Below are 13557 nucleotides of genomic sequence, written 5' to 3' on the forward strand. Positions count from 1 at the left end.
CTTTTCCCAAGCATCTCTACTGGGGTGGTATAGGTTCCAGCACCCCCACCAGCACCACAGCCCTAAATGGCTTGCTTTCCCCCAACTCGCCTCCATGCCTTAGCAAATGTTGCCGCAGAGTCCTGGCAGGCGCCAGGCAAATGCCACCAATATCATCTCCTGTGAAAGACCCCCCAGATGCCCTGGTCCTGTCCCCCACAGTCCCATGCTCCTTCTTCAGTGCTCTCAGAGCCATGCTGCTCCACAGCCCAGCACATGTCAGACTGCTGGGACAGCTGTCTAGTAGAAGACACTAGACCTAACCCTTCTGGTGCAGGTACTATGTCCTGCTCACTTCTGTTTCCCTGTGGTACCCATCACGATGTTTGGCGCAGAGCTGAAGCTAAACAAATGCCTAGGCTCATTCTTTCTTTCACTCAGAAAACATCTCCCAGGCCACTCCTCTGAGCCCAGCCTGCGCTCAGTGCTAGGGATTTTGTGCCCATAAGGACAGGAGGCTTTTTTTTTGAGCCCAATCGGTGTTACTTTCCAACCTCTCCACTGAGAAAAGCCACCAGCCAAAGCCCAGAAACTACCCAAGGGCTAGCCAAAGGGAAATGCCTGCCAGCCAACCCCCAGGACTACAGGGTTGGGGCCGGGCCACCAGGTCCTTGCTTCATTCTTCTCCCTTACTTTTTCCCCAGTCCAGGCATCCTCTGCAAGTCACTCAAGTCCTGAAGGACAGCCCCCACCCCATGGCCTCCTGATCCAGCCTCCTCTCCTCACTATGGCTTTCCTGGAGCTTCAGGGCTCCACTGCCACAACCCCCATCCCAAATCCAGTGCAACCATTTCGTCCTTTCTTCAGGTGGTTTCTGGCCATGTGCAGATTCCCTTGGGCTTTCATTTAATGCTGCCTCAAATCCTGTGGAAATGGATGGGCTATGGGAGATAACTGGCTGGAAGAACAAGGCCCTCCTAACTACCAAAGCCAATGGATTCTTTCCAGCCTTGTTACCTTGGATCTCTCTGCTCACTCTCTAAATCTTCAAATATTTTTGGCTGCCTGACATCATCGAACATCCTTCTTTTGTTTGGGGCATTTTCCACTTTAAGAGTTCAGGCTTCTTGAGGCCAAAGTCAGAGACGTGATTTCCCAGCCTCCCTTGCGTGAGGGTGCAGGCATATTTTTGGGTCCCCCAAGTAGACACGTGCGTGTGAGTCTTTAATTCAGAAGCTGATGACACAAAGAAGCAGGCACCACATGGAGTCCATCTGCTGAGGCGGAGGTCCTAGTGGTGACATCCGGTGTCCAGCGACGGTTGTGTGAACCAAAGGGTCTGCGTCCACAGGCGACAGCATGGCCGCTTCACAGAGTAGTCCTGCAGCATGGGCCAGGCCTTATGCCTGACTGGGAAGCCTCCAAACCTGGTTCTGTGGCCCTCTTGGAGACCCTGAGCATCTTAACATCCTTAGAAAATCCCTTTTCTGCTTAACAAGCCAGAGAGAATTCTGTTGTTTACAGTGAAGTCCTGTGACTGCTACAGCCTCCAAGATGGAGCGCATCTGTGGCGGGAGTGTCAATCACCACTCACTCCCCCACTCCGGGCTTCTCCATGGCGTCCTCCTCCATGGCGTCCTCCTCCTCAGCCACCCTGGTTTCCCAGAGTCCCTCTCCAGCTCTGCTCCTCCCCATCGTCCTTGTCTAAAGCTCTCAACTGAGTGACTCACATCCTCCCACCACCTGTGTCCATGCCCCCAGTCCTGACCCCGCCCCCACTGCCTCTGCACATTCCACCTGAGTGTCCCTGGGGTACCCCAAAGTTAAATATTCAAACCAGCTCCTCTTCCATGGTCTTCATCTCAGCCACTGGCTCCATTATCTCCCGGGTCCCCCAGACTCCAACCAGGGGAGCATCGTTGATGGCCGCCCACCTGTTCCTCACAAGTGACTATTGCCAGTTCCACCCCTCAAAATGTTTCCTCCATCCCCCTTTCCACAGCCTGGGTTCAGGTCCTCATCCGTTCTCTCCTGGGCTTTTACAGCCACCTGGGTCAGGTCAGGTCTTCCTGCGAGTCTCATCCTCCTTACCTCCACCCTCTGTCAAGACCCCACAGAGATTCCCCTGGAGAGTCGACTCTCCTCAGGGCTCCCAGCACCTGCAAGGTCTGCCCCCAGGTCTTTGGCAGCCTCAGGGACCTGGGCCCTCCCTCATCTCCAGCTGCTTTCTTCACTCATCCTTTATCATGCTGTTCCTTCTGCCTGGAATGCTCTTCCCTCACCTGTTTCCCCAGCCTGGTTAATTCCTGCTCATTTCCGTGTGCTCAAGTGTCACCTCCCTCAGGAAGCCCTCCCACCCAGCCTCGGGAAGTGGCCCCCGTTGTGCACCTGTGACATCTGTCACATGCCTCTCCTTATCATTTCACCTTTTAAAAACATTTACTGAGCACTTTTGATGAGCCAAGAGCCTAGCTTAGAAACCCACGTGCATGATTTCATTTAACCCTAGAACAACCCTCAGAACAACCCAATGAGGAGAGTGTTAGCCTCACTTCCAGGTGAGGAAATGGCGTATCAGAAAATGTAAGTGTCCTTCCCAGGGTCAGCCGCTAAAAGGTAGGGGGGTCTGGGATTGGAGCCCAGCGCTGTCCGACCCCACGCCCTAAACACCTAATGGTGATGCTCTGTTGCTTCACCCCAGGGAGCTCCTGTCACCAGCCCAGGTGGCATAACCCTGGCCAAGGAACATCGCCTTGCTGAGCCTCAGCTTCCTCTTCTGTAAAACGAGGGTCAAGTCTTTCCCTGCTGCCCTCCCAAGATGGTAGGAGGATCTGAAAAATAACAGATGTAAAATCACTTAGTAAACTGTAGAGAGTGGTGCACATGCAAAGAAGGCATTAGCATACTTTCAGGGCTTGTCTCACCAAACAATTTCCTTGCTCACATTAGAATGAAAGGCCTTCTATCTGCTGCTTCTTTTAGAGTAAGGGTGAGGGAGGGCTCCCATCCCCTCCCTAGACCAGGGTGTCCCTGTGATTTTTAAATTCACTATCTAGCTGTCCCTATCCCCCCTCCCAAAACACAATTGTGATAGTCAAGCAAAGAAAGGTGAGAGAAAGAAGAAAATCCATAAAGGCTCGGCAAAGCGGTGGCGGTGGAATTCTCCAGCTCCTGACCACCAGTTAGTGACGTCAGGATTTATAACTGTATTAAATGGTCTGACAGGCAGCCTTGATATATCAGTTCCCCCTTCTTCCCAAATCACAGACAATAAAAGCTTTGGCAGTGAAAGTCATTCATCATCATAAAGACCTGAGACATCCCAGTCATCAATTTCACTCACATCCTTAATACACTGGAGAGAGTGCAGGAGTTGAGCACCTCAAAAAGGGAGGAGGAAGAAAACACGAAGGAAGATTGAACAGGAATAATTACAAAGGTCAAAGAAGGGATTCATCCGGGAGGGTGCCGTGGGCAGAGCCTGTCCCTGCTGGAAGTGTGCTCAGGCCACAGAGAAACTAGGCCACTGATGGGCCCAGCCCTTAGAGAGGCCCTGAAGCCCAGGTGGAGAGGGGCCAAAATAGGCTGCAGGATCCGAGTGGGGAGTGTTGGGGGCATGGGAAGCCACACCCTGGCTCCATGGCCTTAGGCTGGGTTTCACCAGGGCCTTTTATTCCATCAGCCTCATTAGCACAAGACGGATTTTAAAATAATGAAGCCACAGGTATCTGTTTGAAATCTACCCCCACCCACACTGGCACAGACGGCTATTTGTGCCAACCATGGTTTTCTTTTGGGCAACACCTTTTGAGCAACTATAACATTCGGGGCTGATATTAGTGGTTGTGAAAGACCCCATAAGGCTGCCAATCCAGCTAGAAAAGAGTAGCTGCCCAGAGCCCTAAGTGCAGCCTCTGGCTTCACCCCTCCCCTTCCCCCAAATCCAGTCACCTGGATCACACCTGCTGGCCTGCCCCGGGACCTGGGCCGAGGTTCCCCACCCCTCACCACCAGCACTTGGCATCCTTCCTCCTCTCAGGCAGGCCGGGCAATGGAGGATAAGAAAGCAGGAACTCCATGGGGTGCAGGTGTGAAGAACTGGGGACTTCACGACTTGTTCCTGAAGAGAACCAGACCTAAGTGGCATGATCCTTACCCTGGCACTTGGCCTTCTCTCTCCCAGACCAAGGAAGGAGGAAGAAAGTCTGTTTAAGAAAAGCAGTTGGCTGGGAAGGGTGGCTCACATATGTGGTCCCGGCTACTCAGGAGGCTGAGGTGGGAGCATCACTTGAGCCCAGGAATTTGAGACCAACCTGGGCAACAGAGTGAGACCCCATCTCTAAAATATTTGTTTTTAAGTAATGACAATTATCTTTCTTATGCTTTTATTTTTTGCTTGAAAGCAAAAGAACAGAAGAAAGCTTTGGTCTAGGTGGGGAGTTTCTTGAAGCACAGGGCTCCCCACAATGGACAACACACAGCCTGAGGGCTGGGAGGCTGCACAGCAGGGGCTGAGAGCCCTGAGGCTGCTGGGGCATGTCCAGGTGGCCTGGCCCAGGCAGGAACATGAAAGAATACACAGCATGTTTCCCAAGAAAGAAGGAGCAATCATACCTGCTGTGTCTGCCCATCCACTCACCAAACCTTCACCCAGGACCTGCTAAGGCCTGGTCAGGCTGCATGAGGTCTGTCTGAGCAGGAGGCTGACCTAAGGGGATGCCAGCTTTTCAGGGGTGAGTCAACCCACTACCCTTCAATCAGATATCACCCAAGAAGCCCCATCAGTCCCGGCCCCTACACGTGGCCTGAAATCCACCTATCAGCTCTGTTCTTCAGATAGGGGTCTGTCCAACTCAGACTTCCTCTGGCACACTTCCAGGCTGCCATGACTCACCAGGCTTTATGAGAATAGTGTGGCTTAGAGGTCAAGTGTGTGGTCTGTGGAGTCTGACTGCCGGCATTTAAAACCTGGCTACACCACTTACAAGCTGTGTGACCTTGAGCAAGTTTCTATGCTTCTCTGTGCCTCAGTTACTGCACCAGTGAAATGAGGATGAGAAGAGTGACTCCCACAAAGGGTTGTTATGCAGATTAGACAAGCTATTAATAAGTCAAGGGCTTAGAACAATGCATGGTGCAGAGGGAGTGGATGGGAGCATCAGCTATCACTCCTGCTGGTGACTCTTGGCTCATGGGACCCTAGCTTGGGCCTGCCTCTCTAGCTGTTCAGGATTGAAACCAACTCTGGGGGAAGAGCTCCCTAGTCCCCTATCCTACACACCAGCCCCCTAAATAGGCTGCTGGGCCACACTATCCTTAACATGGGCATGTGACCCCATCTTGAACCTGGGTTCACAGAGGCATACGAAAGGAACTAATGGGTCTGAAAAGGCAAACACTTCTCTGGATGGGTTCATCCAGACAGGCAGCAGGTGCCCCTAAGCATTCATGCCAGAAACAACCTTACTAAACATTTATAGATGATCTCAGGGTGGGAGTAGAAGTTCTATGGCCTCACAGATAATGAAAATAAAAGCTAATAGAGATAAATTAGAGAGAGATTTTTTTCCTGAGCTGTGAACTTGGCCAAGAAAAAAAAAAGGCAGCAGACTAGTAGAAGCTAATGCATTTGGGAAGAAATAATAATTATGATAATATCTTGAATTCAAATGTGACTTTATGCTAATCAAAGATATGTATGTGAGTGTGTGAATCATGTCAATAACCTTGACAATGACCTAGAAGGGTGGAGTGCTGCGTGATTAGTAACGACCAATCATAGCAGACAGCTCGTTGGTTTATTAATTCATCCATTCATTCATTCAATAAACACTTCCTGAGTACATACTATATTCCAAGTCCCATACTAGGCTGTGCTGGAGAAGGCAGAGACAATTCAGAATCTTGTAGACTAAGAAGAAAGTTAGGCTGGACACAAAGAATTATAAATCAAGGCACAATGGGCTAACAGGCATAATGGTGGGCTGATCAAGGGCAATATGACTTCTGACTGTAGGGTAATTGAGGAGGGCTTCCTAGAGGAGGCAGCACTTGGGGAGTGCTCCAAGGAGACATGCACTGAAGGCACATGGGCAGGGACTGTCAGGCCTGCTGGTTCTTAAATCCCTCAGCAGTGTTGTGAGATCCTTTCACAGGCAAAGTCCTGGACCAGCTCATCTTCACTTTCCTGCCGGGGAGGCCGGACCCCTGGCACAGTCAAGGTGGCCGGCTCTCCATGAGCTCACAAGAAAGGGCCCAGCCCCTTACAGCTTCTGGGCCATTGTCACACACTTTCTTTCATGTGCACTTCACCATAGTCCCGTAAGGGAAGAATGAGCCAGGATTTATAATTCCCACTGGGCAGACGGCAAAACTGAGGTTCAGAGAGGGGAAGGGAATTCTCAAAGTTACCAGGAGTTATGGCAGAGCTGGGATGAAGACCTGTGAGCCTGACTCCAAATCAGGCCCCTCTCTCCCTTTCACAGCAGACTGCCGCCACCTCTGGGCAAATGACAGAAGCACCCGAAGTACAGGAACCAGCAAGACCAAAGGCTTGGAGTCAGGGACTCCGCATGGCTGAGTTGAAAGATGGCAAAAAGACGGGCCTGGATAAAGGTTCCACTGGGCAGCTTCATAGATAGGCAGATAGAGGGCAGTGGATCAACCAGGCTGAGAAAGGAGGATAGGAGAGGGAAAAAAAAGACCCACTCTGCAAGGACAAAGGCTGAGTTCCACATGGAGGAAAGAGCACTAGAATAGGAGTCAAGGGATATGGGCTCCAGAGGTGTCTGACTTTGGGAGAACTTGAGTTCTCAGTCTCAGCCTCCCCATCTGTTCAATGATGGAATTGCACCTGGTGATCCCTAGGGTTTATCCAGCACCTATATTCCAAAGTCTCTTGACTCTAGGGAGGGCACAAATTATCTCAACACTGGGGCAGATGGAGGAGACAGAGTGAGAACCAGCCAGTGCTCACAGAGAGAGTGGAGAAAGAACAGGCAGAAACGGAGCAAAAGAGGTGCCCAGTGCCCTCACAGATGATGGGTCATCCAGGGGAACTACAGGACACACGGTGCTCAAGGAGGCTTTTATATTTGGCCCTGGAGATGTGGTAGACAGAAGAATAATCCACCCCCCACCCCAGGATGTCTACATCCTAATTCCCAGAACCTGTGACTATGTGACCTTACATGGCAAAAGGGACTTTGCAGATGTGATTAAATTGAGGTATTTGCGATGTGGAGAGCGTGTGGATCACCCAGGTGAGCCCAATGTAACCACAAGAGATTTTAGAAACAGGGGCAAGGGGGTCAGAGTCACAGACAGAAGATGTGGCAGCAGAAGCAGAGGCCAAGGAGGAGAGAAGATGCTACTCTGCTGGCTTTGAAGATGGAGGAAGGGGCCATGAGCCAAGGAATTTGTGTGTCCTCTAGAAGCTGGAAAAGGCAAGGAAACGAATTTTACCCCAGGGCTTCCAGAAGGAACACAGCCCACCACTCTTTGATTTTAGGACTTCTGACCTCCAGAACTTTACAATAATACATTTGCATTGTTTTAGCCCCTGGGATTGGGGTAATTTGTTACAGCCGCAACTGGAAACTGCAGGAGGTCAATGGAACATCCAAGACAGGCAGCCGTCAGGCCTGCTCCACGCTGGACAGATCCCCCCGCAAGCTCTCCCACCAGCCCCTCTGCTGGGGACCCCTAAGTCTGACTCCCTGACTCAGGTTGTTTTCCCGAGCTCCAGATTTTCAAAGCCGCATGTAAGAAGCCCAGGCAGGGCTTTTAGTGCTTTGCAAGTTATCCACTCACTTCATCTACATAGTGAGTTCTATCCCCATTTTATAGATGAGGAGACTGAGGTGTGCACACATACATACACACATGTTGAGAAACCGAGGTCACCAATTCATAAGTGGCAGAGCTGGGATTCAAAGCCAGGCAGTCTGATCCAGCATCTGCACACAGGACTGCACGTTTGATCAGTTTCCCAGACCCCAGTGGGCGCCAGCCTCTCTGTGCTACAGTGAGCGGAAAAGGGCTCTGCTTGAGGGGCTTGGTACCAAGGGAAGCAGGACCGTAGAGGAGTTAGGAGAAAACCATACCTCCAGTTACAAGCTGTGTGAACTCACAGGTTTCTTTAACTATTACTTGGGACCAAAATAGTGCCTGTGTTTTAAAGAGTAGAAGATTAAATGAACCAAAGTACATAACAAATGCTTATTATTAAACATTAGCTATCATTGTTATTATCTCCTGAGGCAGCCTATTCAGCTTTCAGAGAGTTCAAACTGCTCAGAAGTGCTTCTTCTCACTAAACTAAAGCTTCCTCCCCGTGGCTTCCCCTTGTCCTCCTGGCAGCCTCCCTCCCCGCATAGCATGGGGGAGGCCATAGCCAGGCTCCAAGTCAGCTGTCTCTATGCCAACAGCCCTGGGCCTCCTGTGGATGCCAAGGTGCCCTGTCCTCTGCCCTTCTTGGGCCTGTTCACCTCTGTCTGAAGCCCCGTGTATCAAATACTGAGAGAGATTCGCCCCCTAGCCCTGAGGATCGGGGCTGTTCAGCCACACTGCTAGGGAAAAAGTCCATGCTGGTTCGTCCAGTTCATCAGACAGGGTGGAAGCTCTTTACTTACCGACAGCTAGGGTGTCCTTAAAACATGAATAACCTTAAAAAAATTAAACAACAATGCAGAGAGTTTGAACCCATTTATAGGAAATAAACTGTATGTGTACATCCTGACATGTTTCTTTATGCACAGCAAAGGTTCTGGAAGAACACATACCAAATCGCCAACTCTGATGACATCTACAGAATGGATTAGGAATAGACTGAGGAGACGTGGGGACAGATTGCTGTACATACTTCTGTGCCATTTGAATTTATTTTACAGTGAACATGTATTACTTTGCAATTAAAAAGGAATTATTCACTTTGGGAGGTCAAGGTGGGAGGATTGCTCGAGCCCAGGAGTTTGAGACCAGCTTGGGCAACATGGCAAAACGCTGTCTCTACAAAAAATACAAAAATTAGCCAGCATAGTGGCGTGCACCTGTAGTCCCAGCTACTTGAAAGGCTGAGGTGGGAGGATCCCTTGAGGCTGGGAGGACAAGGGTACAGTGAGCCATGATCACACCGCTGCACTCCAGCCTGGGCCACAGGGTAAGACCCTGTTTCAAAAAAAAAAAAAGAAGACTTTTTTTTTTTTAAGAGAATGGTGAGAGATTAAACCAAAGAGAAGCCAAGAGTGGATGGCTTCCCTGGAGCAGCTTAGATGTTGCTTCCCCATAAAACCTTCCCCAGACCCCACAGAGAGAAGCAACTGTCCCTTCCTTCATGCTGTCAAAAGCACTTGGCTTCTCCCACAATATTTCTCTTTCTTTTTCATTTTTGTTTTGTTTTGCTTTGCTGCATACATGTATCCATGTTTGCCTCCCCCATCAGACTGTGAGTTGGCTGAGGGCAGGAATTCTAAAACCCTCAGGACTTAGACTAGGCTGATGTCTGACATGAAGGAGGAGTTCAGTTTTAATGGAGAGATGAGTGAATGGGTGATGAATGGCAGAAGCTCTGCAAATTGCCCAGGTGCTATCCTTTGCACTTTTTCTCCTCCAGACAATGACAAGGCAGTGGGGATCTCTGACCACAAGAACAAGCTAATGAAATCGCTATTTTAGGAAGATGGATCACAGCAGGGTGGGCTGGATGCTGGAGGCCCAGAGACCTGCTTGAAGGCTCTTTGGAAGGGTCGGCTCCCAAGCCACTCACAGGTATAAAAATCTATGAGACCATTAGCAGAAGGGCTGTCCAGCTTCATTTATTTTTTATCCTATAAATATAAGGTCAGAAACAACTGGAGTACTTTCCACTGAAATTATTTTTTTAATTGATGCTACACTTTACACAAATATTAATTCATTTTATTCAACAAATATTTCTTGGGAACATTGTGCTAACCTGAAAGCAAATCATATTTTTCTTCTACGTGCATTTTAATTACGAAGATGCTTGAGTTTCATTTCGGCTTTAAAATGATCGGACCTCTGGCACCTCTGAACCTCTGAGTAGCCTTCCAAACACTAAGATTCCAAAATTCTAGGTTTCTAGGAATCCAAGAATCTATAATTGTGAGTCTATTTACCAGTGAAAAAGCAAATACTTCAAATTTCAATAGAATTCACCCCCAAATCGTTCTGGAATGCAAATAGCCCTGCATCTCTGGGGAGAGTCCAATTTGGATATGGAGTTTTCACTCTGCAGCCACTGCTACTGCAAAGGGCCCACAACATTGAGTCTGGAGAGAGCGGATGTCATTGCACTGGGATGAAACGCTGTGTTGCTGCACATTCTTGAGAACTTTGCACTCGCTATTCCAGGCCCTTCCCAGCGGGTGGTTTGCACACTGAGCTGATACTGGGGAAAGCCATCCCAGGCAGGTAGAATAGCTTGAGCAGAGGCCTGAAGTCAGGGACAGGTAAGGCTGGCTGGAGAGCCTGTGGGCTGCCCTTCCTGGCTTGAGAGAGGGGTTTCTGTTGGGCAGGAATGAAGGTAAGAGGACACAGGAAGGATGGGGTGACTGGGTTAGAACAGGGTTGAAAACCCAATGCCCACAGGGGCCAGCAGGTAAGGTAAGTGGATGAAGCTGCCAGGTGGGGTGTGGGGTAAACAGGAGCCTGCTGCTTTAGCTACAGGGGGCAACCACTTCTCAACTCTCCCCAAGTGTGGCCACTTGGGAATGTAGACCCAAGGTGGCCGAGTCTTACTTTTTTTCCAAGAGAAGCTAGACATTTTAATTTTTTTTTTTTTTTTTTTTTTTTAGATATAGGGTTTCGATCCTTTGCCCAGGCTGGAGTGCAGTGGCACGATCATGGCTCACTGCAGCCTTGACCTCCTGGGCTCAGGTGATCCTCCTGCCCCAGCCTCCCAAGCAGCTGGGACTATGGGCACGCACCACCACATCCAGCTAATTTTTGTAGATTTTTGTAGAGACGGGGTTTCACCATGTTGCTCAGGCTGGTCTTGAACTCTTCAGCTCAAGCAATCCACCCTCTTAATGTTAAATCTCCTGATTTTTAAGGCACTTTTAAATTTAACTTTTTGATAGCCGATATGTTGATAAGGTTCAAAAAATCAAAATGTAAACACCGCTCAGTAAAAAGTGTTCTCCCCACACCCTCTGCCTAAACATGGTTAAGTCCTGAGTACCCTTCCAGAGTTTCTTTAATTCTCACAAACATAAATATGCATTCCCATTGTCCCTTTTTTACGCAAAGGCAGCATGCTGTATACACTATTCTTTACCTTGCTTTTTTCATAAATAATATATCTCAAAGATACATTATTTACATCCCCTATGAGGATATAAAGAGCTTCCTCGTTCTTTCCCACTCCATTGTGTGGATGAGCTATTCTGTATATAACAAGGTCTCCACGGATGGACATTGGGGTGTATCTCCTCTGGTTGTTAAAATGTTAGGACTAATTTTTTTTTAAGTTTAAAAAACTCTATGCAAATCAAAGCACCTTTGGGCTGGACCTCGGGGGCACACGCCAGGCTAAGGGGTGTGTTGGGCAGTGCCTGGTCTATGAGTTCAAAGCATAGATGCCCGCCTGGACTTTGTAGATACCTCAGCTTCTGGCCTGACAGTGGGAAAGGAAATCACTTCAACTGAGAACAGCTTTGGGTAAATACCGCTGGAAGAGACTTCGCCTTTGAGGTAGTGAAATCCCCAATACCAGAGGTGACCAAGCCCTGATGTGGAACTGACCCCGCGCTGTGTGAAGAGTCAGGCCGCCGGACCTCTATGCTTTCCTCTAACTCCAAGAGCCCTCGAAGCCTGATTTATGGGCTGAGCCTGGCTGGCAGCAGAGAAACAACTGAGAAACCTGCCTCATCCTTTAGGATATGCATGTCATTCATTCATTCGTTCATTCATTTGTACATTTAAAAGGCTGAAGCTGTAATTTCTGCCAGAATGCCTTTCCCCGAGCTCCCCACAAAGCTTCTCAACATTTAGATCTCAGATCAAACACCACCATTTTACAGAGATCCCCCCAGCTGGGCACCACTCCCTGAGTCTCTCTCTTCTCTCCCACTTATTTTCTTCAGAGCACATGCCCTGGTAAAATTACATTGCAAATTTATTCTGTGTTTACTGTAAATTGCCTGGTTCTGCCCCACAAGTAAGCCCAGTGAGGGCAGGGACTGTCCACCAGGGGCACCATGGTACTCCCGGCCTGGCACAGAGCGAGAGCCCAATAAGCTGTAACTACTGATATTATCTCCTTTCCAATGCACAAAACAACTTTTTTTTTTTTTGAGATCGGGGGGGTCTCCCTATGTTGCCCAGGCTAGTCTCGAACTCCTGGGCTCAAGTGGTCCTCCCGCCTTGACCTCCGGAAGTGCTGGAATTACAGGCATGAGCCACACGCCCGGCCCACAGAACAACTCTGATAGCCAGCCCAGCATCTTCCATGGAATTCCGAGGACGGCCCCGTGGCCGACACTCAGTTGCAGGGTATCATCCTGCACTGTAGCTCTTGTTGTAATTTTTTACAGCGCCTTTTGGCAGCCTGGATACATAAGGTGTTCTTGTATTTTTGCTTTCATTATTCATTATGATTTCACTCTGAGAGAAGAGGTATTTCACTGCATCTCATGAGCCTCAAAAAGGCTCATAAAAATGGGTCAAAGGAGGCATGCCCCATGGAAAAATGAACAAATCGCTGTTCAGAGCTGCCTGGCACCCCGCCAGAGGGGATTGTGACAGAGGAGGCAGAACATATTTCCTGAGGAGGAAAACCCCAAAGCCACTCAGCCCAGCAGAGGGTCTCCACCACGCAGCCGAAACCAGCCTGGGCTCCCCAGCCCTTGAGACGCCCCAGGTCTGGAGTCCGTGGGTTCACAGGCTGAAAGCAACCCCATGCAGTGTTTACTGTTTCCCCAAAATCCCCAAACACACAGTGGATGTCCCTGCTTCCAATGATAGACACTGGGACTCTAAACAAGTGGAAAAAATTCAGAGCTCTCCACCCCTGCCCTTCAGCCAGACATCCTGACGGGGTCTCCAAGACTCCACCACCTTCTGAGGATTTCTGCGGGATCAGGACCCTTCGGAGAGCATCCCCACGTAGAGAGCTGTCGCTGGGCAAATGTCTCTTTGTCTTATGCCCCCAGGGCAGAGATAAGGGACTCTGGACAAGAGCCCAGACACATAGTAATAACTACCATTTATGGGGTGTTTACCACCTGCCAAGCACTGTGCTAAGCACTCTGCAAGGTCCGCTCATATAATCCTTGCCAGAAGCTGTGAGAAAACTCTAGTGCTGGCCCATTTTACAGATGGGAAACTTGGGCCCAGAAATTAGTAACTTGCCTGAGATCACCCAGCTAGAATACGGTGAAGTGGGCTTCCAGCTCTGGTAATCTGGCTTCCCTGCTGACATTCTCAACTGCACACTGAAAGAGACGCCTTCAGGAAATTTGAACTGGGATTTTTTTAGTCCATTTCATCATATAATGGCAGTAGGCTGTGGAAGCCAGGGCCCTGGGGGAGCTAGAACTGGGGCTCCAGCTCTCA

General features: G+C 49.5%; 1 protein-coding gene across 13 annotated transcripts in view, besides 1 other annotated feature; it reads right to left on the bottom strand.

Moving 5' to 3' along the window:
- The window catches only part of PAX5 (paired box 5), a 201000-nt gene that overhangs the window by 65776 nt on the left and 121667 nt on the right, over positions 1-13557 (bottom strand). The gene's annotated exons all lie outside the window — the stretch shown is intronic.
- Positions 1540-2040: an enhancer, noted in NCBI's record as "H3K4me1 hESC enhancer chr9:36900581-36901081 (GRCh37/hg19 assembly coordinates)". NCBI's record gives its function as "activates a minimal SCP1, AML or CMV promoter by ChIP-STARR-seq in primed H9 embryonic stem cells {active_cell/tissue: H9 hESC(primed)}" and the evidence as "EXISTENCE:reporter gene assay evidence [ECO:0000049][PMID:30033119]".

This window comes from Homo sapiens, chromosome 9, assembly GCF_000001405.40.
Source record: "Homo sapiens chromosome 9, GRCh38.p14 Primary Assembly".
Lineage (NCBI taxonomy): Eukaryota > Metazoa > Chordata > Mammalia > Primates > Hominidae > Homo > Homo sapiens.